This window comes from Homo sapiens, chromosome 17, assembly GCF_000001405.40.
Source record: "Homo sapiens chromosome 17, GRCh38.p14 Primary Assembly".
Taxonomy (NCBI): domain Eukaryota; kingdom Metazoa; phylum Chordata; class Mammalia; order Primates; family Hominidae; genus Homo; species Homo sapiens.
Window position 1 is genome coordinate 58,567,787 of NC_000017.11, and position 26,882 is coordinate 58,594,668.

At 43.2% G+C, this 26,882-nt stretch overlaps 1 protein-coding gene and 1 long non-coding RNA gene across 4 annotated transcripts in view, besides 2 other annotated features; one reads left to right on the forward strand and one right to left on the reverse strand.

The window, feature by feature from the left end:
* Positions 1-26,882, reverse strand: part of TEX14 (testis expressed 14, intercellular bridge forming factor) — a 135,368-nt gene that overhangs the window by 11,109 nt on the left and 97,377 nt on the right. For 2 of the 3 annotated variants that reach the window (NM_198393.4, NM_001201457.2), the window contains exons 15-27: positions 25,769-25,875; positions 20,110-20,235; positions 19,795-19,880; positions 18,015-18,296; positions 16,714-16,814; positions 13,825-13,944; positions 11,879-11,945; positions 9,589-9,670; positions 6,401-6,463; positions 5,395-5,522; positions 4,135-4,340; positions 2,599-2,698; positions 1,406-1,474 (exon numbers count right to left, since the gene is read on the reverse strand). In NM_198393.4, the coding sequence (NP_938207.2) occupies positions 1,406-1,474; positions 2,599-2,698; positions 4,135-4,340; positions 5,395-5,522; positions 6,401-6,463; positions 9,589-9,670; positions 11,879-11,945; positions 13,825-13,944; positions 16,714-16,814; positions 18,015-18,296; positions 19,795-19,880; positions 20,110-20,235; positions 25,769-25,875 (1,537 nt within the window). The remainder of the gene's footprint in view (positions 1-1,405; positions 1,475-2,598; positions 2,699-4,134; positions 4,341-5,394; positions 5,523-6,400; positions 6,464-9,588; positions 9,671-11,878; positions 11,946-13,824; positions 13,945-16,713; positions 16,815-18,014; positions 18,297-19,794; positions 19,881-20,109; positions 20,236-25,768; positions 25,876-26,882) is intronic. The other variant, NM_031272.5, reaches the window with a different exon arrangement.
* Positions 3,069-3,269: a silencer, noted in NCBI's record as "peak2918 fragment used in MPRA reporter construct". NCBI's record gives its function as "represses an SCP1 promoter by STARR-seq MPRAs in K562 erythroleukemia cells {active_cell/tissue: K562}" and the evidence as "EXISTENCE:reporter gene assay evidence [ECO:0000049][PMID:32103011]".
* Positions 5,987-12,441, forward strand: LOC107985048 (uncharacterized). The gene is made up of 3 exons (XR_001752952.2): positions 5,987-6,477; positions 6,990-7,098; positions 11,044-12,441. It is a non-coding gene; the product is annotated as an uncharacterized LOC107985048 (long non-coding RNA).
* Positions 20,018-20,107: a silencer, noted in NCBI's record as "silent region_8773". NCBI's record gives its function as "represses an Ori minimal core promoter by ATAC-STARR-seq in GM12878 lymphoblastoid cells {active_cell/tissue: GM12878}" and the evidence as "EXISTENCE:reporter gene assay evidence [ECO:0000049][PMID:35858748]".

Consider the following 26,882-nt stretch of genomic DNA (forward strand, 5'->3'; position numbering starts at 1 on the left):
GAAATGAGGGAAGGCTTCTGCAGACTGTGCTGGGGTGCAGCAGCACCATAAGGCCAGAGCCCAGGACAAAGTCTGGTAACACAGCTGCTGAAATGGAGGAGGTGAATGGAAGGTTTACACAGCAACTATAGAGGGAAGACAGCAGGATCCAGAGAAAAAGTATCAGCTATGATCAAACTGCAAAGGAGCCTACAATACTGCCTTAAATCATGACCGAGGAACAAATGATACTAAGAATCTACCTGAGCAGGACATGTGTGGGGTGACCTCCACTCTCAGCAGTTCTGTTATTTTAAGAAGAGCAACCAAAGAGGAGGAATTTGCAAGGACTGCCTAGGGAATCCCAGATATGGAAAGCAGGGGTGGGAGTGTGGGCTCTAAGAGCCTGACCCAACAACCCTGTGACTCTACAACACTGTGGCACTGGGGGAGGGGTAAAGTGAAGCAAGAAAGGTCCTATGACCATGGAAAAAGAAAGAAACCAAGGAAGGTCTGACAGCACTGACTGGCTCCACCCAAGTTCATCAGGCCAAGGGACAGGAGCTAAGGGTTATGATAATGACCCTGAAGAGAGCTGTCCATTGAGTCAGACCTGAAAATTCTGATTTACCTCCTCCTTTATGAAACCCAAGACCTCAGAGACCCTGAAAACCAAGGGGTGCCCCTCAGGAAATTATAGGTCCCATAACAAGAACTGGACTATCCAGAGTCTGATGAGATGCATTTTCTGAGGGTGAAGGGCTGGTTGGCCAGGCTGTCAAGAAAGGCGCAGTCAAGTCTTTCCTAGGAAAACAGACCACCTGCCCCAGTTTCCATAACAATGTAACATTTACTTTCAGCATCAGACCAGCTGGACAGGGCCAGCCAATCAGCTGCAAATAAAATTTGGTTGGTAACTGCTCTGCCTGAAAATTCTGGTCTCTGTAGGTTTTGTGCCACTGACTTCCCTGTTCTTAGGAAGGGGATTTATTCACAATTTCAATACCTTTAATACCTACAGCTAATGGCAAAACTGAAAGCACAGGTGTCTTGGCCTGGGAAGCTAGACCTCAGGCCTCAAAGGAATGGCTGGTTTGGTCTGAAAAGGAGATAAGAACTCCTTTAATAAAAGAAATTCATCATAATAAACCACTTGAATGTTACTTCCCCTTAGATTCATCAACATAAGTCCTTTAAGTAACAAAATGACAACTGACACAAGCCAATCATCCTGGCCAGGCTGTGGCTCATTTTATTGCAAAACTGCCCCTTCCTAAATTTTGGAAAACTGCCCCTTCCTATATTCAACCAGGCCATCATACAGCCTTTTATACTAGTGTTCACACTTGAGACAAAGACACCATACTGTGGTCAGTGACATAACTAACAGGGCCGAGAAGTATATTCTGTATTGAACATCTCTTACCAATGTCATCAAGTAGCTCCTGAGATGGTGGTGGCAGCTCATCAATGTGATGCTGTGAGAAGGCTTCTACTAGTTTTTAAAAAAGACAAAAGGGAAAATGTCTTAACACCCTCCTGGACCTGAACTGAATTTTTCTCGGCTCTCACATAGACTTGACTGAGGATTTCTCTCAATGATGAAACAAACTAAGGAGGAAGGAAGCCTCTTACATAATAGTTCCAGTAGAGACCTCCTAACATGTGAATGGCCTTTACTCCCCACTTCTACCCCAATCCCTTTCCTTTCCTACATCAGCCCTTACCCTGGTACTGCTTGATCTATGCCCCTCCCTTCCTAAGGATATTTGGAGGAGGTAAGGTACAAATTCTTACTAAGTGGCTCAATCTGGACCAGGGCTGCTGGAGGAATACAGAGGTTCTGGACCAGTCAAAATGAACAAAAGCACAAAGTAGGAGGCCTTTAACTAAATATTATCAGGCCAGGGGATTTAGAGGCAACCACACTTTGGGTCTTGCCCCAAGTGCTCAATTATAACATTGACCAAAATACCTCAACATAATTCACAAAATCCCTATCCCCCTGAGGGAAATTCCAAGAGTTATACCAAAGACAGAAGACGTTAAAATTAAAGTAATAAAGGTAATATGCCTCAAGACTGCTAATATTCTCAGACCTTGTGATTTGGAAACTGTCTTCTAAGAATCTATCCTAAGGAAAGGATCAGAGGTACAGATAAAAATTTATGTATAAAGAGCAAAAATTGGAAAATGATATAAATCTTAAACATAAGAAAATGGTTAAGCAACATGTAGAATGGACTATAACTACTACATATATTTATGAACAATTTTTAATAACAAGGGAAAAGCCTCAAAATATAACAAGGGAATAAAGCAGTCCAGAACTGATACACAATATGATCTCACTATGCTAAAACATATTATTATATATTTATAAAAATATTTAAAAGATATGCAAAAAAAAAAGTACATGAGGTTAAAAAAGTGTATAGTCACCTTCTTTGTTAAGCTTTTATTTATTCTCCAAGTTTCCTACAATGAGTGTGTTTTACTTTTATAATCATGGGGAAAACAGCATTTCTGTCTGAACCTAATGTGGCATCAAAGATTGATAAGCATCAATTTAAGCCTCCTTGATTATAAACTTCTATTTTGATATTAAACACAGGGTACCTTTAGGCAGGCTCCTTCTCTGGGTGGCATGGGGTGGTGATGAGTCACATGCCTTAACAAGGCTGGGGGATCCAGCCCCAATAAATGAAGACAATCTTTTCTATAAGGAAGAGATAAACATGGTAACTGTCATGTGTGTTGAGCTAAAAAGGCATATGCAGCTCAGTCATTTCCAGTTGTTTTGTTGATTAAGTCAAACTCACTCACATGTCACCTCCTCTGGGAAGCCTCCTTTTTTTTTTTTTTTTTTTTTTTTTTTGAGATGGAGTCTTACTCTGTTGCCCAGGCTGGAGTGCAGTGGCACAATCTCAGCTCACTGCAACCTTCACCTCCCGGGTTCATGCAATTCTCCTGCCTCAGCCTCCCAAGTAGCTGGGATTACAGGTGTGTACCACCACGCCCAGCCAAATTTTTTTCTGTATTTTTAGTAGAGACGGGGTTTCATCATGTTGGCCAGGCTGGTCTCAAACTCCTGATCTCAAATGATCCACCCACTTCAGCTTCCCAAAGTGGTGGGATTACAGGCATAAGCCACTGCATCTGGCCTGGGAAGCCTTATCCCTGACTGCCTCCTCAGCACTCAGTACTTACCGCTGTGTTACATCAGGCCTGTCTTTCTCACTAGACAGTGAGCTCCTTTGAGGCAGGGATCATGTCTTTCTTATTCACACTTGGATGCCTTGAAGAGGGCCTGACATGGTGCTTGGCACTTAGAATCTGCCCAATTAACGGTTAAATGAACACATAAAATTCCTTGTCATCTCCCTACTTCAAAGTGAGACCTTTTTTGAGCCAAATACCAAAAAAGTTGACAATCAATTTTTCATAAAGGAACTTGTACTTTTCTTTTCTTTTTTTTTTTTTTTTTGGAGACAGGGTCTCACTCTGTCGCCCAGGCTGGAGTGTAGTGGTGCAATCACAGTTCACTGCAACCTCGACCTCCTGGGCTCAGGTAATCCTCCCACCTCAGCCTCCCGTGTAGCTGAAACTACAGGCACATGGCACCATGTCCCAGCTAATTTTCTGTATCTTTTGTAGAGATGGGGTTTCGTCATGCTGCCCAGGCTGGTCTCAAACTCCTGAAATCAAGTGATCTGCCCGCCTCGGTCTCCCAAAGTGCTGGGATTATAGGCTTGAGCCACTGTGCCTGGCCAGAACTTGTAGTTTTCCTGACTAGGGTACACATATGAGAAAGGGAGAGGAAAAGAAAAAAAAAGGAGGAAGAAGTAGAAGAAGAGGAGGAGAAGAAGGCAGTATATGATTAAGTGTTTTTCCTGCAGGTTATTAGTTCAGGAGTTCAGAGAACAGTAGAGATCGATCAAAACTCTCAGGGAAGTAACCAGGGAAGGCTTTAAGGAGGAAGCAAAACTTAAGCCTCCCATAATATAGACTCAAGAGAGGAGTCCCAGGCAAGCCAGGAGAGGACCCAGCTTATTTCTTGCTTTCTTAATGAATTTGGAGAAATCTTGGCAGTTTGGGTCACTGGGCCCTTTGGGCTGACTCCATGAGTTTGTAACGTGGAATTGATATACTTACAAGACCAGTCAGTCTTGAAGGGGGAGTTTCAGAGGAAGTAAGGAGAGAATCCAGTTTCTTTGCTCTCTCTCGGACACTTATAAAGTCATCAGACAAAGTTTGAATAAATTCTTGACTGTTCCAGCAAGAGGCAAACTCTGTCTTAACCTGAAATGTGATACTTTCAAGGCAGTCTTTATACTGACTGGCAGCTGAAGAAACGGACCCTGTTGGAGAAAAGCGGAAGGTTACTGTCTGAATCCTTTATATTATTTCTCCTTTTTTCCTTTTTCCCTTTGTTTTTGTTTTTTCTGCCCCAATATGATGTGCAGAAATGAATCTTTTACATTATTAAAACAAACAAACAAACAAACAAACAAACAAAACATCCAAACCCACAAACCTATACCTATACTAAGGATTTTCCAAATTGTTAATAACTGAAATAAGGCCGGGTACGGTGGCTCACGCCTGTAATCCCAGCACTTTGTGGGAGGCCGAGGTGGGTGGATCACGAGGTCAGGAGATCAAGACCATCCTGGCTAACACGGTGAAACCCTGTCTCTACTAAAAATACAAAACATTAGCTGGGTGCGGTGGCGGGCGCCTGTAGTCCCAGCTACTCGGGAGGCTGAGGCAGGAGAATGGCATGAACCCGGGAGGCGGAGCTTGCAGTGAGCCGAGATTGCGCCACTGCACTCCGGCCTGGGCAACAGAGTGAGACTCTGTCTTTAAAAAAAAAAAAAAAAAAAATTACTGAAACAATCATTGATCTGAGACACAGCTCCTCATGGTATAAAAAATAATAGTCTCTAAACTTGGCCTCTAAACTTTACCAAAATAAAATAAACGGTGATTTTTTAAACCACAAATATATTGGAAGTAAGGCCACTAAAGAGAGGATATTTGATGCTGGTTGCATATGGTTGCAGGACTTAAGAACTATATAAAGTTTAAGCACAAGGTACTGTTTTAAGTTGCAAACTCTACAAAGCTCAATGTTTTTGTACTAAATTCAGTAGTGCTTAGAGGAGATGTAGCATTTGCATGGCTTTACCACTGCAGTTCTAACCAAAACCTCCTAACGGCTGCCCAATAATCACCACCACCATCACCCCGCCCCCTGGCCTACAATGGGATTACCCAGTTTTGGCCCTAAAGAAAAACCTTTGCACTATGACAACACAGCCACCAGCTCTGATACCACGGCTTGGCTTCCCAGAGACAATGGGCTGGGGCTGTAAGTCCTTCTCCCCAAACACTTCTCTTCCCTGTGATTACCTGGGCTGAGTGGAGTGCTGACACTGGTAGGTGCATGGTTTATTTTGGGTGTTTTGCATGAAGCTTCCTTAAAAGAGCTGTCTGGTTCATAGGAGATACTAGACAGGTCTTGAATATCCGTCAATGATCTAAAGAATTAAGAGCACACAGTAATGATGAGAAGATGACTAGAAAAATCAAACAATATATTCCTGAGAGGTACTTTTTAAGTATAATCTTAACAAAATTTGTATGTGGCAATAGGCCAGAATTAGAGAATATCTTAGAACATCTTATGTATCTTAAAGAGAATATTAGAGAACATATTTAAAAGAGATTGTAACTTTATTACCAAAGAGACTTTTTTTTGGCGGCAGGGACAGAGTTTTGCTCTTGTCACCCAGGATGGAGTGCAATGGCATGATCTCGGCTCACTGCAACCTCCGCCTCCCGGGTTCAAGTGATTCTCCTGCCTCAGCCTCCTGGGTAGCTGGGACTACAAGCGTGTGCCACCATGCCTGGCTAATTTTAGTATTTTTAGTAGAGATGGGATTTTACCATGTTGGCCAGGCTGGTCACGAACTCCTGATCTCAGGTGATCCGCCCACCTCAGCCTCCCAAAGTGCTGGGATTACAGGCATGAGCCACCACACCTGGCACCATAGAGACTTTCTTTGCTAGATACTGTAACTTTAAACATATCAGCAGCTAAAAATAAACTATTTCCATAGATGAAATATTCCATATTTCCAGGATATTTACGTGGAAAACAGATTTAATCTACCTTAAGCGTAAACTTATTATTATTATGATTATTATTATCATCACTACATTTCCTTGAGTGTAAGCTGCTATTAGTTATAAATCATATCACCAATTTGATAACAACTTTTTGGTGAAAGAAGCAGCATACTCACATTAAGTCTACACGTAAAAATGGAAAGATCCTTACAAACAAGAATATACTATTCCCTTAAAACCAAGACTTTACACAAGCATCCCTAGGCATTCTCTTTGGTGATCATACATGTCTTTCTCTTTCAGTTCCTTTGGTGACTCCTTTGATGTCTCTTCTTGTTCATCTTCAGTACTGTGAGAAAGAAAGTAAGAAAATTACATAAATCCCCTCTGTGAACAAAGTACACTAACTACTTGCTACAAGGAACCAGTTGATCAGCCCAGTGTGAGACGCAGAGGAAAGGGCACTAAGCTCAGGAGTAGAAAGTGTGAGTTCTGTGCCAGGCACGTTGGCTCACGTCTGTAATCCCAGCACTTTGGGAGGCCAAAGCGGGTGGGTCACGAGGTCAACAGATCGAGACCATCCTGGCCAACATGGTGAAACCCCGTCTCTACTAAAAATACAAAAATTAGCTGGGCTTGGTAGCACGTGCCTGTAGTTCCAGCTACTCGGGAGGCTGAGACAGGAATTGCTTGAACCCAGGAGGCGGAGGTTGCAGTGAGCTGAGATCGCGCCATTGCACTCCAGCCTGGGCAGCAAGAATGAGACTCCATCTCCAAAAAAAAAAAAAAAAAAAAAAAAAAGTGTGAGTTCTGGTTCTGGCTGTACTACTAGCTGCGAGTTCTCTGACATGTCTGGGCCTCATTTTTCTCTCCAGAGTTGAATAAATACTCTCTAAGGGTCAGCTCTGAAATCAGTTAAAGACTCTATACGACTGTGAGCAAATTCATGAGAAAATCAACAGAGCACAGGAACTTTGCTGGGAGGTAAGATATTGGAGCAAAGGGGCACAGCCATGAGGCCTCAGCACCTGTAAGAAGCTTCCTGGCATAGTGTACCAGGAGAGGCCAGAGAGGCTTGTACCAAAAAATGGCCAGAATAGTGAAGACAAACTTGACCTGTTTCTACTTTAACCAATATTTAAGATTCAATGTCAGTACTCACTGAACATTAACTATAAGGCAGATCCCATGCTAAATCCTTCCATGTTTTCACTTTTTTTTTTTTTTTTTTGAGATGGAGTCTCACTCTTGTTGCCCAGGCTGGAGTGCAATGGCGCGATCTCAGCTCACTGCAACCTTCGCCTCCTGGGTTCAAGTGATTCTCCTGCCTCAGCCTCCCAAGTAGCTGGCATTACAGGCATGCGCCACCACGCCCGGCTAATTTTCTGTATTTTTAGTAGAGACGGGGTTTCTCCATGTTGGTCAGGCTGATCTCAAACTCCTGACCTCAGGTGATCTGCCTGCCTCGGCCTCCCAAAGTGCTAAGATTACAGGTGTGAGCCACTGTGCCTGTCCTTCACATTTTTAATCCTTGCAAAAATCCTCTGAGACCAGTGATATAAATGAAAGATCATGGATTTGGGGTTGAGTTGTGACTTTATTAATTCTGTTACCAAAAATGTTTGTTTCTCCTTCTAAATAATACAACAGGACTTTTTGGCCCTCTTGATTTACATAAATGACCACAGAACTTGTTTTAACCAATAAAATATGAGTGAAAGTGATGAGTCACTTCTGGGCAGAAACTTTAACAGCCAGTACACAACTCACCGTGTTCCATTTTTCCTGCCTTAGCAATCAAGGAAGCACAAAAATGGGGCCTCCCTCAGCCTAAGTCTGATAGAAGGCAATATAGCACAGAACATTCCTGGCCAACCCATGAGCCATGGACATGAAGCAGGAGCAAAGAAGAAACTTGTTGTTTTAAACCACTAAAATTTGGGAGTTGTTTACTATATATAGCATAATCTAGTCTATCCTGACTGACTAGCTGAGTGACCTTAGAAAAAAATATTTAAACTCTCTGAACTTTGCTTTCTTTACTGGCAAATGGAGGCAATGGTATGTGCCTCACAGGGTTGTTATGTGGATTAAATCAGACAATGAAACAGAGTGCCTGGCATATGCTAGATATTTAGGAAATACTAGCTACAATAATTATAATTAAGGAAACTGAGGCCCAGAGAGAATAAAATAAATTGAATGTTATTGTGCCAGATACGTTATAACAATTATGAATTTTTTAAACTTTTCTTTTGAGATAATTGTAGATTCACATGCAATTGTAAGAAATACACTTTACTGGCTGAATGCGGTGGCTCACGCCTGTAATCCCAGCACTTTGGGAGGCCGAGGCAGGTGGATCACCTGAGGTCAAGAGTTCGAGATCAACCTGGCCAACATGGTGAAACCCCATCTCTACTAAAAATACAAAATTAGCCAGGTGTGGTGGCACATGCCTATAATTCCGCTACTTGGGAGGCTGGGGCAGGAGAATCACTTGAACCCGGGAGGTGGAGGTTGCAGTGAGCTGAGATCACGCCACTGCAGTGAGCTGAGATCACGCCACTGCAGTGAGCTGAGATCACACAACAAGAGTGAAATTCTATCTCAAGAAAAAGAAAATACACTTTACCCACTTTATCCCAGTGGTAACATCTTGCAAATCTATAGGACAGTATCACAACCAGGATATTGACATTGATACAGTCAAGATACAGAACATTTCTACTACCACAAAGATATTTCTGGTTTACAGCTATGCCTGCTTCCCTCCTTTCCCCACCCCTTCCTTAACCCCTGGCAACCACTCATCTGTTCTTTATTTTTATAATTTTGTCATTTCAAGAATGTTATATTAATGGAATCACACAGTAAATAACTTTTTGGGATTGCTTTTCCTACTCAGCATAATTCTCTGGAAATTTAGCCAAGTTGTTGCATGTATCAATAGTTTATTTCTTTTTACTGCTGAGTAGCAAGCACTCAATGGTATGGATGTACCAAAGTCTGTTTAATCATTTACTTGGTGAAGGACATCCGGGTTTCCAGTTTGGAGGTATTATGGATAAATTTGTTATAAACGTTCCTGTATGTATTTCTGTGTAAATGTAAATTTTCATCTCTCTGGGATAAATGCCCAGGAGTTATATTATTACTTTAAGTTCCTATTGTCAACATTCTCAGTAAGGATTCTTATCCCTGCTTCACAGATGGGAAAATAGAATAGAGGGGTTGAGAACCTTGACAAGGTCACATGAACAGAAAGTCAGAGTCAGATCTAAGTAAAGGTGATGACTCAATCCCTCAAATTCTACTGCACAAGTCCTAACACAGCTAAGCTGCCCAAAGCTAACTTTTATAAGATAGTAGCTAATACATCTGAAGACAAGCAATATATAAACACGGAGCATTATCACCATTTAACATTGCATCTATGAGTTTGAAACTGCATAAGATAATAATAGCCCATACCTTCGTACAGGTTGAAATTGAGACCTGGGCAAAATCTCAGCATTCTTTCCAAGAATTTTTCTCATTTGGAACTTTTCCTCACCTGAAAGAATAAAGTTAAAAATATATATATATATTTTTTTTTACTGAATCTTTGTCAACCCAAATTATTGTCACCATTCCCTAGAATGTCCCTTGGTCTGGTCCAGAATTAGAAATAATCTGGATAAACAAAGTGCTGCCCTAATTGGGTTTGGATTGAGTGCTGTAGAAGAGGTTTTTGCTCTGAAAGTTTATTTTCCTTGCTCAGAGCACAGAACTATATTCTGACACTCAGAATACAATCAAGCTATTTACTGGCCTTTCAGTTATAACCACAGTTATTTCTGAAGACAAATGTTGTTTTGTCTTTTTAAGAAGGCAAACTGACCCGGTTCCTGTCAACAGACGCCAGGGGGCGTTGAAAACAAGAACTGTTTGTTAACTAAACAGCCCCGAACTCTAACTATGCCACTTGGCCATCAAACACTAGGTGTGGGCGTGGGCGTGGGCGTGGGGTCTTGAGTACTGAGGAGCTAATTCAACTGTCTTCTGTTCTTCTTGGCATCAAGTTATCTGAAGTTACTCCTCCCCAGTTCTCAGTAAGATGCTTTGCTCCAGGCAGGCAGGGCCAGTATCCATTTTCCTTCCCACCACTGTACTGTCCTAGTTAATAAAGAAGGGGGCAGATGGAGCATCCAGCCCTGTTTCCAAATGCCTATGACTCCCCCACCCCCATCCCATTCCTTAGGTCCAGGTGGTCTGGTAGACACTAAGAAGGCCCATCAGAACAATGCCACCTTTCACAGCTACCAAGGAGCTCTGAAACCCCACCAGTGGAGAGACATTGGGGGTTCCTCTTCCTCTGACCCTTTTAAAATGATAAATATCCAGAAAGCATAAACTAATTCCTAAGAAGCAACATTTAGAGCTTAGAGACTTTAGAGTCCGACCCTCTCCTTTACTTTATACCAGGGGAAAGTAGGGCCCTGGGGTGAAGTGACTTGCTGAAGGTTATGCAGAAAAAGTCAGTGGCAGAATGGGTCTTGGAACCTAGCATGCTGCATCCTGTACCCCTGTTGTGTCCTCTCATGTGGAAGGGGATATATATCAGAACAGTAGAAGGAAAAGGGGGCAGAGAGGGGCAGAAAGAAGTGAATGGAGTAGAAATCAGAGACTTTTTCACATACTTCATGTGTCTGTATTAAACTAGCTCTGGTTATCTGACCTGTCTGCCCTAAACTTTTCCATCCCACTCAACTCACCTCCACATACAAGTTAAGTGGCCACATACAAGGCAGGTCCAAAAAAGAGGCTCTGCAGGAAGAGGTGGGTGGCCCAAGGCTCTGGAGACTTTTAATACATATTATGCTGAGACTTTAAGTAAAAGTTGATCTAAAAGCTTACAGCTTCTTAAAATGCTCCCAACTCTGGCAGGGGCCTTCACAAGGTTACAGTTGGAAGCTGGAGTATGCAGTGGAAGAAGGGAGTAAGTTCATAACACTACGCTGTTTGGGTTTAGACGGTTGAGACATGACCATGGATAGCTACACAGGTTGGTAGGTGGATAACTCTACTTTTAAAATAGATGAGTACATACCTTAAAAGAACAAGAGTACACAATTTTAAAAATGTAACAAAGCCAACAGTTAACTTATATCTGTCTGGTGCCACATCCCTGGCTACTGATCCAAGGCTACCTTCTCATCTAAAAGAAAGCCCCTGCTAAGTTATATAGAACCCAAGGCCTCCCAAGTGGTAGATGTTAAGTTGAATCTGCATTGTTAACTGTTACTAACTCTTTGCTAAGATGCTAAGCAAGCAAAGGAAAATGCTGGTGACACTGCCTTCTGGGGAGAAGAAATACATGAAAACCTAGTTCTAATTTTGTTATGTTAATAACTAGCTATGTAGCTTGGGCAAATCCCCCAGGTCAGCTTAGCAAAGATAACTGCACTTGCTATGTGGCACACCAAGGAGCCTGAAAGCTTGAGAGACCAAAGGGGGAAAAAGCAGTGACTACAACAACATTTGCTATAAAAATGCAAGGGGAGGTATAAATAATACAACACGTGGATGTCATGAGGTTGGTGAGGAGGAAGGGATTTGTTCTATTGAGGAGAAATCATTGAACCTTGGTTTTCTCAACCATATAATGAAAGGTTTGGACGAGGCTGTCCCTCAGGATCCCCCCAGCTCTAAACATCTGTGATCCAACAGAAGAAATTTAAGGGAAGTGATTCTCAAGGAATCTTCCCTAAGGGCTTATTACCAGAGACTTGAGGTTGGGCAAATGCACCTTGTATTCCTTCAAAGTCCTCTTCTATGGGACTCGAGGTCTAAAAAAGAACAAAAGAAAAGCAAAGAAAGGAGGTTCACTGGAGGCAGACATATTAAAAGGTCAATAATTTCTTGATGTTCTTAAATCTTGAAAATCTTCATAAGATCCCTGCATCTTTATAGAAAAAGCACAAACTTGCTTCCTAGACATTAAGTACTTATTTGTATCATATGTCCTCTCCTCAGTAAGTCCTCCCTCACCTCTCATTGTGAAGAGGAATTATGTGACTCCGCCTCCTTATATCACTATCCCTATTCAACCCAATCTTCCAACAAAGATATTTTGGTTCTTGGGAGCTTTATCAGAAGAGCTAAAGAAGGCTTAAAAGCTGGCCCAGTCTGCAAAACTACTCTACGAGGTAAGAAGTCAGAACAATGGTTCCTTTTGGAAGAGGCAGTGACTGGATGGGATCACAAGGGGTCTTTTGGGGACTAGTAATGTTTCATTTCCTTTTTTTCAAACAAGGTCTTGCTATGTTGCTCAAGCTGTTCTCAAACTCCTGAGCTCAAGCAATCCTCCCGCCTCAGCCTCCTAAAGTGTTGTGATTATAGACATGAGCCACCACACCTAGCTGAAATTATATATATATATTTTTTGAGACGGAGTCTCATTCTGTCGCCCAGGCTGGAGTGCAGTGGCACGATCTCAGCTCACTGCACCCTCTGTCCCCCGGGTTCAAGCAATTCTCCTGCCTCAGCCTCCCGAGTAGCTGGGAATACAGGCACCTGCCACTGCGCCCGGTTAATTTTTGTATTTTTAGTAGAGACGAGGTTTCACCATCTTGGCCAGGCTGGTCTTGAACTTCTGACCTCACGATCCACCCACCTCGGCCTCCCCAAGTGCTGGGATTACAGGCGTGAGCTACCGCGCCTGGCCTGAAATTACATCTTTGATGCATCCTAGAATTCTTATCAGTCAAATACTGTGATTGACACAATCCTCCCTTTCATATAGGTAAAAGATCCCAAAAAGGTGCCAGGTTAGCAGGGAGGTAGGGTGGAAAATAAGTAAATAAGAGAATTCATCAAAATTCATTTTACAAATGAAAATACTCTGTACAGGAGGTTCTTGTAAAAGCTAGGCAGATTCCCAAGAAAACTTGGTATATTGGACAGTCTCATATTTGTTGCTGAACCCTTGCCTCAATCCTGGCTCTCCCATCACTAAAACTTGGCAGGCTGGAGTTAATTAATTCCGTATATCTGCAGAACACCAGTCTTCCTCAGAGAGAGGAATGATAGCCTTGTCCTTTCCCATTAGGAAGTATGAATTAAGTAGCATGAATAAAAACATTTTGAGCCAGGCATGGTGGCTCACGCCTGTAATCCCAGCATTTTGGGAGGCCGAGGCGGGCGGATCACGAGTTCAGGAGTTTGAGACCAGCCCGACCAACATGGTGAAACCCCATCTCTACTAAAAATACAAAAATTAGCTGGGTGTGATGGCACACGCCTGTAATTCCAGCTACTCAGGAGGCTGAGGCAGGAGAATCGCTTGAACCCGGGAGGCAGAGGATGCGGTGAGCCGAGATCACACCACTGCACTCCAGCCTGGGTGACAGAGCGAGACTCTATCTCAAAAATTAAAAAAAAAAAAAAGTTTTGAAAAAAAAGTACAAAGTGCTGTATAAATGCAGTAACCACAATTTTGGGAGAAACTGCACATGACTTCCCATCCTCAAAAATAAAAAAATTTTCAGATGTTTTTCAAAACACGTATGAATGCATGGGTTCATATCACACTCCTGACACCAAAAAAGGTATAAAAAATCCTGGTAGACATTACATACTTTGATATGTAAGCTATTTTTCTCAATAAAAGAAATAAGGCAATGGAGAAAGGTGAAAAGGTACTTTACCCTGAACTGCGTTTTTTACCTCTAGAGCTAAGTTTTCTTGAGCAGTCGAGGAGTAAAAATATTCACCGTCTGGAGTTAAAAATTCATCTGTTATATCCTCAGAAGACTCTGGTGAACAAGTTGATTGCATGGACTGATGCTATTAATAATGTAGGAAATCACTTTTAAGTTGCTGTTCATTGTAACGAAATCCCTTTATAGTTGGATGCAGTGTTAACAACGGGGTTATCTAACACTACCCAGCAGTCAGTGTGACACTGAGCTGACTCTCCCTACCTCTTTGTGCATGTGCCTCTGCCTTCCCTTCCTGGTGGGGAAAAGCAGCTGTTAACTGACTGGAATAGCATGAAGGAATGCTAATCCTGAGCCTCAGCATCATCATCTGCAGAATGGGTGGAGATGAGGTGACCGTCCTATTCTAATATTCTAAATAAGGAGAAAGGCCCTAGTCAACTCAAGTTGAGGACTGAATTTAAACACACTAATCCCTCACAGGCAGAGACATAGCCCATGTGTTGGCATCATCTTACAGATGAGGAGGCTGCGGCTACTCAGAACCTGTGAGTCCCTTGAGTATTATAGGTTAAAGGCAAATGAAGAAGCATTTTAAAAACAGCAATGTAGTCTCAATAATAAAAATAAAATAGTAAAAAGCAGCAAATTTATATTTACTTATTTATTTTTCTGAGACAGAGTCTCTCTCTGTCACTCAGACTGGAGTGCAGAGGTGCGATCTTGGCTCACTGCAACCTCCACCTCCCAGGTTCAAGTGATTCTCCTGCCTCAGCCTCCTGAGTAGCTGGGACTATAGGCATGTGCCACCATGCCCAGCTAATTTTTGTATTTTTAGTAGAGAGGGGTTTCACTATGGTGGCCAAACTGGTCTTGAACTCCTGACTTCGTGATCTGCCTGCCTCTGCCTCCCAAAGTGCTGGGATTACAGACATGAGCCACCACACCCGGCCTGCAAATTTCTTTTTTTTTTTTTTTGAGACAGAGTCTTCCTCTGTCACCCAGGCTGGCGTGCAGTGGCATGATCTCGGCTCACTGCAGCCTCCGCCTCTGGGGTCCCAGTGATTCTCCTGCCTCAGCTTCCCAAGTAGCTGGGATCACAGGTGTGTGCCACCACACCTGTCTACTTTTTGTATTTTTAGTAGAGATGGGGTTTCACCATGTTGGCATGGCTGGTCTCAAACTCCTGACCTCAAGTGATCCTCCCACCTCGGCCTCCCAAAGTGCTGGGATTATAGGTGTGAGCCACCGCGACCGGCCTGCAAATTTATTTCTTTAGCATCTCTGCTCCACCCCTTTTTTCCTGCTTATTTCACAATATTCAGGACCTGATTACTATGTGGCCAAACAAATGGCTCACTTCAGTCTTTTTTTTTTTTTTTTTGAGACATGGTTTCATTCAGTCCACCCAGGCTAGAGTACAGTGGCGCAATGACAGCTCACTGCAGCCTTGAACTGCTGGGCTCAAGCGATCCTCCTGCCTCAGCCTCCCGAATAGCTGAGACTACAGGTGCACACTATCATGCCTGACTAATTTTTATTTTTTTTAGACAGGGTCTCACTCTGTCCCCCAGGCTGGAGTGCAGTGGCCTGATCATGGCTCACTGCAGCCTCAACCTCCCCAGACTCAGGTGATCCTCCCACTTCAGCCTCCCAAGTAGCTGGGACTAGAGGCATGCAGCATATCCAGCTAACTTTTGTATCTTTTGTAGAGATGGGGTCTTGCCATGTTGCCAAGGCTGGTCTCAAACTCCTGGACTCAAGCAATCTGCCCACCTTGGCCTCCCAAAGGGCTGGGATTACAGGAGTGAGCCACTGCACTCAGCTGATTTTTACATTTTTTTGTAGGCAGGGTCATACTATGGTGCCCAGCCTGGTCTTGAACTCCTGGCTTTAAGCGATCCTCCAGCTTCAGCCTCCCAATGTACTGGAATTATAGGTGTGAGCCACTACACCCAACCTTCAGTGATCTCTTGGCAGAGATTTTGTGACTAATTTCCTCGGACACTGCTTTTTGCCACACACTTCCCTTCCTGTGCACTTAACAGCTGCTCCTCTTTACCTCTCATCAAACTGAATTCGTCCTGGCCTCCGGCAGACATTCCCCACTTTCCTGCCTAGGCCTGCTTCTCCAGCTCAGCCAGTATGGTTAATATGACTGTTCTTCCAGCCCTCAAGTCCGAGAAAGAATAAGTTGATCTTATGAATGGTTCATATGCCATGATTAAATACAATAGGTCAAAAGACCTTACATTTTATCACTATTGTATTCATATATTGTATCATTCTCAATTGCTGTCTATATTCTTTAAATGATTGCAATCCCATGTCAATGACAATAAAAAAATTTTGGTTTCTTAGTCTGGCTGCGCTATGGCCTAGAGTGTGTTAAAGCCCTGAAGCAAGGCTGTAACTGCAGTGGAAACGCATATAGATCCTGCTGAGGTGCAGTTGTCAGGCACAAACACATCACTTCCACTGAGCTGGGTGCTGAGTTTGGCCCTTAGAGGATATTCCAGGTGAAGATACTCTCATAGCAACCCTGCCCTTGCTTTTCCTACTCCTAACTGACCTCAGTCGCCTGCTGGGGAAGGAGCTTTGCCCTAGTTTTGTTTAGCAAACTATGCCAGAAACTCATGTGCCAAAGCTGAATCTGACACTTTTCTGTACTCTCCCAATCTCCAGGATACACAATTCATTGAGTTGAACTGACTTTTTAAAAAGTATCAGACAGGAGGAAAGATTATTTTATTCATGTCAGTGACATGAAGGCACATGCTCCAGCCAAAAAGAACTACTATAGCTATTATTTTGGTGTCATAACACATAACAATAACTCAGTTCTATCTTATTAGATCTTTGGGTTCAACTTGGCTTTCCAGGCAGTATTACTTACACTGTAAGATTTCTCTACAGCCACCAATGTGTCAGAACTTGCTTGGAAGGCTTCACTATGCTCTGGTTGCTCCTTTTGTCTGGGAGATGGGTGCCTGATACCTAATGATTGTAACACAGTCAGGGTCAAAGTCATTCAGTGATATTCAGACAACATGGAAGAGGATAAAGGTGGCATGAAAGAAGAGATGTATACATATTCTGCCAAGAGTGGCCATGTCCCATACGTTAGGTTCAGTCCAGAGAGTAGAGACTGTTAGTTTAGCCTGACCCCAAAATGCAGCCCTGGATCATCTGCCCACCCATTCGAGAGTGATGCTTGACAAGAAACAGATTCTAAATACAAATAATACCCAAGCCAATAGATTTTCTGCCTAAGACAAATGACAAGTTTAGATGTATCTTTCTTTAACTTATAAACAACTGTGAAACAATATCCATGCCCTGATTATAAGCAAATTATCAACTGAAAATATACAGCCTTCATTTTTTTTAACCTGTAAATCTATAAACCGATGACAATAAATGTCATGTGTCTCTAGGTTCCTCCAGCATAGACTCTCTGGAAAAATTTAATGCCAGCTTAGAATACATTCTAAATAAATTCTGGGAGAATTTAATTTCAGCTTAGAATACAATGCAGAGACATGGGCAGTAGGCAGTGATGGCCTACCTCTATCCCCAGGTAAAGAAGGATCGATTCCTCGCCAAAACCAGGGTCAGTATTTGATTATTTTACTTCCTTTGGACAAAGGGACCTGTTTCAGTAATATAAAAACTGATCAGTGTCTGGATCTGTTTGCCTGTGGGAAATGCAATGAGATATAGGGCTATACTGTCTTCCCCTGGAATTCAAGGTTTCCAGAAAAGTAGGAAAGGAGAGAGGACCAAACCAAAAAAAATATGCTGGAAAGTTTACTTTTTTGAGAGCTGATAACTTTTTTTTACTTTTATTTTTATTTTGAGACAGGGTCTCACTGTCACCCAAGCTGGAGTGCAGTTTCATGATCACAGCTCACTGCAACCTCCACCTCTCAGGTCCAAGTGATCCTCCCACCTCAGCCTCCTGGGTACCTGGAACTAGAGGCGTGTGCCACCACGCCCAGCTAATGTTTTTTTTTTTTTTTTTTTTTTTTTTGTAGAGACCAGGTTTCATCATGTTGACCAGGCTGGTCCCAAATTCCTGGGCTCAGGTGATCCGCTCGCCTCACCTCCCAAAGTGCTGGAATTACAGGCTGAGCCACCTCGCCCGACTGATACTTGATTGAGTTCACCTATCCTGATTCCCGCAAGTGAACTTACTGGTGAAGCTTCCAAGCCTGGGCTGTCTGCCATGCTGGTCACTGTCACAGTCATTGTTGCCCGTCTTGTCAAACTTGCCATTTCCTCTGGGCTCATCATTTTCCCTATGATACTCAATAACTCGCTGCCAATCCGTGTTTTCTGGGCTCCTAATGGGGGGCTGCAGCAGGGCGTCGGGCTCATTTTCAGCCTCGCTCTCTAAAGTCAGACTACTCTGAGGATGCCAAGGAGGTACTGTGAGCTGTCCAGTAGCTGCTTTCTTTGCCATTTCTTTCACCTCCACTGTGCATAAGAGAAAGCAGCATTTAAAACATCACTGTAAACACTGGAAACACAGGCTTTCATCTAAAAGAAATACATAATACTATTATAACTCATAGTGTAACAATTGCCTTTTTACAGTTGCATCATCCTTAGCTTGCCCTGTTTGGCTTGAATGGGAGGTCAGGGGAGAATTGATGACAGAGAGAGAGAAGGGAATTTCAGTCAGTTATCCCAAACAACAGCCCTTGTTGCTTACTTCCAGGGTGAAAGGCAGCAAACAACTTACAGATAGACCCTCTTCCTGTGAAGTTTTAACAGGAAAAATGACATCTATAGTTCTTAGTGTGTAATAATAGAAAGTATTCTATTTGAGTTTGTCTAGTCTTTCCAGACTACACTGAGCTCATATTTTTGGAATGCATACATATATGCATGTTTTCATTTCAAATGTTGTCAAACACTTCTGCTAATGTCACTTACGACTAGTATTAAAAATAGACATTATATCCTTTAAGCCTGTAAGAGAAAACTGATACAAAGAATAATGCCCACAGGATATGAGAGTGACACTGCATACTCTCCACTTTTATAATGTTATATAGTAAATATCTATGTAGCAGTTCCTCAAATAATGTCATTTTATTCAACATTGTTTCATTGTAACTCTGATGAGAAAAAAAAAAAACAATCAATTCCCAGCTGGGGCCACTGTCTGTGTGGCACTTGCATGTTCTCCCCGCATCTGCATGGGTTTTTTCCAGGTAGTCCGGTTTCCTCCCACATCCTAAATATGTGCACGTTAGGTGAACTAGTGTGTTGAAGTTGCCCCAGTCTGTGTGAGTGGGAGTGTGTGAGTACACTCTGCAATGGAATGGTGTCTGTCTAGGGCTGGTTCCCTCCTTGTACCCTGAGTTGCCAGGATAGGTTCCAGCCACCTGTGACCCTGAACTAGAATAAACAGGTAATTACTTATCTTACTTGTTTTTATTAATCTCTCTTAAATGTGTACATAGCTCACATTTATTTCAATGTTTAATATTAGAAGTGTCTTGGTCTTTATTTAGAAGTATGGTGATGTATTTGTGACCAGAAATATGCTATAGGAACTTAACTCTTGCTTACATCAATTAGCCCATGGTAAAATTGGTTTTGTTATACATCGTTTTGCTTAAAGTCGTAGTTTGCTTAAAGTCATTGTCATTTCCTATTAACAGAATAAGGTGAGGACTTATTGTATTGTGCACTGTTTTGTTACATTTCTTATACAATATACATTTATATATTAGAAATATTTCCTATAAAGTCTAGAAATTAAAAAAAAAGCATTTCCCTTCTGAAGTCTGTAGTCAGAAGGGCCCTGCTTTTAAAATGAAATATAATAAAAGAAAAAAATTCAGAAGGACATTGCTATGGTTCTAAATGTGCAACACAGGTTGTGTACTTAGAAATATCAACCACATTAGAAATATACTTTAAATTTCATTTTGTCTAATAAAACCCATGACTTTATACTCACTTTTCCATTTTAAGTGTACCTTTCCATCATCTTTATTTCTGGACTCTGCATTATAGATTTCAGAAGAAACAGGTTCCACACTCATCCTGAATTGCACGGGTTTTTTGGAGGTAGGGGGAGCGGGGTGGACACAAACACATCAGTTTGCTCAAGTTCTTGACAGAACCAAAAGCCCACCAGCCCATCCAGAGGACCTGTTCCCTACTCCCTAAGCCATTCCTAGAGTTGCACTGACCCCTTTGCACCAGCAGAGGGTGCCAGAACCCACCCCCACCCCCGCTCCACCACCAGTTTCCAGCCCACAAGGATCCTTACCTGGTAGAGTCCCAGTGACAGCTGGGTGATGCAGAAGGTCCCTGCCGGTGGCTTGACAGAGTGAAGAGTGCACTATTAAACTGTGTGGCTTTGGCTTGGGCAGTGGACTCTCTAGGTCTTCCCTGGCTAAGAAATGAAAGGACTGAGCTATAAGATCTCTAAGAGTATTTTTAGTTTCTAAGTTTAGATTTCATGATTATAAAAGTGCTCTTGGGAGATTTTCAGAGGTAGAAGAAACCCGCAGTTGAAGCGCAGTTTCACAAGACACAATCCCTGGGCTGTTGCAGAGCCTCCCCTGCAAATGCCACAAATCACAGGTGATGGTTCAGGTGAGGGTTCTGCTCCTGCCCGTCCATCAGAATTCTCTGGTAACAGGCCCACCTTCATATCAGTGACAGCACAATAACATTTGTAGTTGTTGAGACAGAGTCTCAGTCTGTCACCCAGGAGTGCAGTGGTACGACCTCAGCTCACTGCAACCTCCGCCTCCTGGGTTCAAGCAATTCTCATGCCTCAGCTTCCCAAGTAGCTGGGATTACACATGCACGCCACCATGCCCGGCTAGTTTTTGTATTTTTAGTAGAAAATTATGTTGCCCAAGCTGGTCTTGAACTCCTTATCTCGAGTGATCCACCCACCTCGGCCTCCCAAAGTGCTAGGATTACAGGTGTGAGCCACCATGCCCGGCCTAACGTTTGTAAAAACAGTCTTAAGGCATCAGAGATCCTGAAGAACATTCAGAGACCTTCAATCTAGTCCCACTGAATTCTAGACCCTGACCTACCACTAGGTTACTATCTGACTTTGGCAAACATCAATCTCTCTAGGCCAAGGCTTCCTCATTTGCAACATAAAGGCGTCTTTTTTTCCTCTAAATATCCCATAACTAGCCAGGATGGTGGCTCAGGTCTGTAGTCTCAGCTACTTGGGAGGCTAAGGCAGGAGGATTACTTGAGCTCAGGAGGTCAAGGCCAGCTTGTACAACATAGTGAAACTCTGTCTCCAGAAAAAAAATAAACAAATAAAGTTTATAAATATCTCATGAACATGTACATTTTATCATCTATTCAATTAACTTTTCAAAAACGCATGAACTGGCTGGGCACGGTAGCTCACACCTGTAATCCCAGCACTTTGGGAGGCCAGGGCAGGCGGAGGCCAGGAGTTGAGGTGAGCCTGGCCAACATGGTGAAAACTCTATACTAAAAAAACAAAAAATTAGCTGGGCATGGTGGTGCATGCCTGTAATACCAACTACTCAGGTGGCTGAGGCATGAGAATTGCTTGAACCCGGGAGGCGGAGGTTGCAGTGAGCTGAGATCACACCACTGCACTCCAGCCTGGGTGACAGAGCGAGACTCTATTTCCAAAGAAAAAAAAGTGTAGGCTGGGTGCAGTGGTTCATGCCTGTAATCCCAGCACTTTGGGAGACCGGGGCAGGTGAATCATGAGGTCAGGAGTTCAAGACCAGCCTGGCCAACATGGTGAAACCCCGTATCTCCTAAAAATACAAAAAATTAGCTGGGCATGGTGGCGGGCGCCTGTAATCCCAGCTACTTGGGAGGCTGAGGCAGGAGAATCTCTTGAACCCGGGAGGCAGAGGTTGCAGTGAGCCAAGATCCACTGCGCTCCAGCTTGGGCAACAGTGCGAGACTCCGTCTCAAAAAAAAAAAAAAAAAAAAGTGTGTGCTCTGTGGCACAGATATGAATTCCCTGTTATCTAGAATGCCCTACTCTCCAGCTGGACCAGAAAGCAGAGAGACTGCTGAATCAGAGAGGGTAGATCTGATCAGCTTCCTTTTTAAAAAAATAAAATTCTTTTGGAGATAGGGTCTGACTCTGTCACTAGGCTGGAGTACAGTGGCACAATCACAGATTACTGCAGGCTCAACTTCCCAGGCTCCAGCGATCCTCCCACCTCAGCCTCCCAAGTAGCTGGGACCACAGGCACCTGCCACCACAGCCAGCTAGTTTTTGTATTTTTGGTAGGGATGAAGTCACACAATGTTTGTTGCCCAGCGTGGTCTCAAACTCCCAGACTTCAAGCGACCCTCACACATTGGCCCCATAAAGTGAACTGAGATTGGCCAGGCGTGGTGGCTCACGCCTGTAATCCCAGCACTTTGGGAGGCCATGGCGGGCAGATCACAAAGTCAAGAGATGGAGACCATCCTGGACAACATGGTGAAATCTTGTCTCTACTAAAAATACAAAAATTAGCCGGGTGTGGTGGTGCACGCCTGTAATCCCAGCTACTCAGGAGTCTGAGACAGGAGAATCGCTTGAACCCAGGAGGCGGAGGTTGCAGTGAGCCGAGTTTGCGCCACTGCACTCCAGCCTGGCGACATAGCAAGACTCTGTGTCAAAAAAAAAAAAAAAAAAAAACCATGAACTGAGATTGCGCCACTGCAAGGAAGCCTGGGCGACAGAGCGAGACCCTGTCTTAAAAAGGAGGGGAAAAGAATCCTTAAAATCTTCAAACCCTTTGACCAAGTAATTCTGCTTCTGAGAATCCATCCTGAGGAAATAATCCAAAATGCAAAAACAAAGCATTATTTACAAGTAACTGTGTCCCTATTCATAACAGAATAAAGAATGAAGCAACCTAAAATTCAACAATAGGTGAAATCCAACTATTTTTGTTGTTGTTGTTGTTGTTGTTGTTGTTGTTGTTGTTTGAGACAGGGTCTTATTCTGTCGCCCAAACTGGAATGCAGTGGCATAATCATGGCACTGCAGCCTTGACCTCCCCAGGATCAGGTGATCCTCCCACCTCAGCCTCCCAAGTAGGAGAGGGTGTGGGTCTACAGCCGCACACCACCATGCCTGGCTAATTTTTTGTAGAGATGGTGTTTTGCCATGTTTCCCAGGGTAGTCTCCAATTCCTGGGCTCAAGTGATCTGCCTGTCTTGGCTTCCGAAAGTGCTGGGATTACAGGTGGGAGCCACCTTGCCCAGCCCAACAATTTCAAAATAAGTTTACAGGGTTTTTTTTTTTTAATAACATAGAGTAATGTTTACATTCTAATGTAAAGTGAAAATCATGACATAAAATTGCTTACACATATCGTAATTGTCACTTTTTTTTTAAGCACACAAAAAGACTAGAGGAACAGGTGGAAAAATGTCAAACTTTTTTTTGGTCTGTTCTTTGTACTTCTGAGGGAAGAGGGTGCCGAGCAGGGGAGGCCACAACAACTATGGGTTTTTCTTTGTCATCTAATGGCTATGTCATCCCATTTGCTTCTATCAGTGGTGTGAGTGCCAAACACTCTGATGCCAGCTAGGTAGTTCTTCATTATTCCCTTCATAGGAATAAAATCCACTGATCTAAAATGTCTGGCTGGGCGCGGTGGCTCACGCCTGTAATCCCAACACTTTGGGAGGCCAAGGTGGGTGGATCACCTGAGGTCAGGAGTTTGAGACCAGCCTGACCAACATGGAGAAACTCCATCTCTACTAAAAAATACAAAATTAACCAGGCCTGGTGGTGCATGTCTGTAATCCCAGCTACTTGGGAGGATGAGGCAGGAGAATCGCTTGAACCTGGGAGGTGGAGGTTGCAGTGAGCCAATATCGCGCCATTGCACTCCAGCCTGGGGAACAAGGGCGAAACTCCATTTCAAAAATATAAAAAATAAATAAATAAAATGTCTGGACATTTTCCTTCATTTTCCCTTACATACATATTTGCCAACATGAAACAAACAGCAAACTCGTCATTAGTCTCAATCACCACTAGGGCGAGGAATAAAAAGTTTTTTTTTCCAGGAGAACTGACTTCAAAGTTGTGGATTAGTGCTACCATTTATCCACAGGAAAAAAAAAAAACAAAAAAAAACTAAAACTGATATACTAGTCTGTCGTGAAAAACATATATTGGCTGGGAGTGGTGACTTACACCTATAATCCCAGTACTTTGGGAGGCTGAGGTGGGTGGATGACCTGAGGTCAGGAGTTCAAGACCAGCCTGGCCAACATGGTGAAACCCCATCTCTACTAAAAATATAAAAAATTAGCTGGGCATGGTGGTGGGCACCTGTAATCCCAGCTACTCAGGAGGCTGAGACAGGAGGATCGCTTGAACCCAGGAGGTGGAGTTTGCAGTGAGTCGAGATCACGCCACTGCACTCTATCTAGCCTGGGCAACAAGAGTGAAACTCCATCTCAAAAAAAAAAAAGAAAGAAAAAAAAATTATTGCCCTTTTAGTAATTCCCTTACTTATAATACCTAACTAAATTTAAACCAAAAAAAATTTTAATCAATTTTTTAAAAATTGAAAAAAAATTCCCACACACCAAATAAATTTGTTTTACTTAAGTTCGTTCTTTATTTATTTAATTTTTTTTTTTGAGTCAGAATCTCACTCTGTTGCCAAGGCTGGAGTGCAGTGGTGCCATCTCAGCTCACTGCAACTTCTGCCTCCTGGGTTCGAGTGATTCTTTTTTTTTTTTTTTGAGACGGAGTCTTGCTCTATCGCCCAGGCTGGACTGCAGTGGCGCGATCTCCTCTCACTGCAAGCTCTGCTTCCTGGGTTCACGCCATTTTCCTGCCTCAGCCTCCCGAGTAGCTGGGACTATAGGCGCCCGCCACCACGCCCGGCTAATTTTTTGTATTTTTAGTAGAGACGGGGTGTCACCATGTTAGCCAGGATGGTCTCGATCTCCTGACCTCGTGATCTGCCTGCCTTGGCCTCCCAAAGCGCTGGGATTACAGGTGTGAGCCACCGCACCCAGCTGTTCAAGCTATTATTGAGCTTCCACCTCCCAAGTAGCTGGGATTACAGGTGCCCGCCACCACGCCCGGCTAATTTATGTATTTTTAGTAGAGACGGGGTTTCACCATGTTGGCCAGGCTGCTCTCGAACTCCTGACCTCAAGTGATCCGCCCACCTTGGCCTCCCAAAGTGCTAGGATTACAGGCGTGACCCACCACACTCGGCCTGTTTTACTTAAGTTCTTTAAAACTCAGCATGTGTGTGTGTATGTATGAATATATGTATGTATGTATACACATGCACGAATATATGTGTATATGCATATATATGCATGAATACATATATACCTATGTGTGCATGAATACATATACATATATGTATGAATATATTATATATACGTATATGTGTATGAATATATTATATATACATATATGTGTATGAACATATATACAAACACACACACACTCTTCTTCCAGTAATTTGTGCTAAAGTCAATTCATTTCATTCGTCTGGCTGGAAATCACACACCCCAGGGTCATAGTGATGTTGTTCAACTCTCTCTGGAGTCAGTGACACTTACTTTAAACAACCCTGGTTTCCAATTAGTTTAGTTTCTGGAGCACTGGTAAATGGAATACCTGGTGTTTGTTTTTATAAGAAAAACTATCTGGGCAGTTGCGGAAAGGCAAGATGCTTTGCTTCTAACAACTGATGAGTTCTGTCTGATTAACCTGCCAGCCACTTGGGCTTTGATGTCTCCTCAAGTTCCCATGACACTGCTCTTCCTACTCACTCAGTGGGAGAACCTGCCAATCTGCATTACTCTTCTTCATCACTCACAGTCCTTTTGTCACTAGACATAAGAAGATCACTGAGTGGCCTCAGAGACACACAGAAGTCTAAAGGCATAGTGACATTAAGAACAACAAAATGTTGACCCACCTACTGGTATTTTGGATCCTGCTTGTTTCCAAACTGTCCTTGGCTCCTTGAGTGCACTGAAATTGTTCATCTGTGTTCTGTTTTCCAGGGTCACAAAGAGTCGGCAGCTTAAAAAGCAATAAACATGTTTCAGGGCTTTGATGAGAGAATTCCCACTCTCTTCACTGTCACACTATTTTCAAAGCCATTCTTGCTAAATGTATAGAAATAACCAGACCTACCAGGATTTTCCTTTGCATGTTTCCTATCTGCTAACCCATCTCTTATCTGGAGGTCTTTTTTTGTTTTGCTTTTATTTTGAGACGGAGTCTGGCTCTGTCACCAGGCTGGAGTGCAGTGGCAAGATCCTGGCTCACTGCAACCTCCGCCTCTCAGGTTCAAGAGATTCTCCTGCCTCAGTCTCCCGAGTAGCTGGGACTACAGGCGCACACCACCACACCCAGCTAATTTTTGTATTGTTAGTAGAGACAGGGTTTCACCATGTTGGCCAGGATGGTCTCGATATCTTGACTTTGTGATCCACCCACCTCGGCCTCCCAAAGTGCTGGGATTACAGGCGTGAGCCACTGTGCCCAGCTTATCTGGAGGTCTTTACCCAGAAATGTTGGTCTCCAGGAACCTAGCCCAGACAGGATACAAGTGGAGAATAAGCAGACAAGATAGAAATAAAAAAAAAATCCACTTTCCTGAGCATTTTCCCCCTCCTATATGAATATGAAGACAGCAGATCTTTGTGGCAGGAGTAAAGGCCCTTGGGTTCTAGTCTAAGTGTTATTCAGACTAACATAAGAGAATCTTTTTCTTTTTTTTTTTTTTGAGATGGCCTCACTCTGTTGCCCAGACTGGAGTGCAGTAGCCTGGTCTCGGCTCACTGCAACCTCTGATTCCCAGGCTCAAGAGATTCTCATGACTCAGCCTCCTGAGTAGCTGGGATTACAGGTGCGCGCCACTACCACTCAGCTAATTTTTTATATTTCTAGTAGAGACGTGGTTTCACCATGTTGGCCAGGCTGGTCACGAACCCCTGACCTCAAATGATCCACCCTCCTTGACCTCCCAAAGTACAGGGATTACAGGCGTGAGACACCGCACCCTGACACTAAGAGAATCTTGT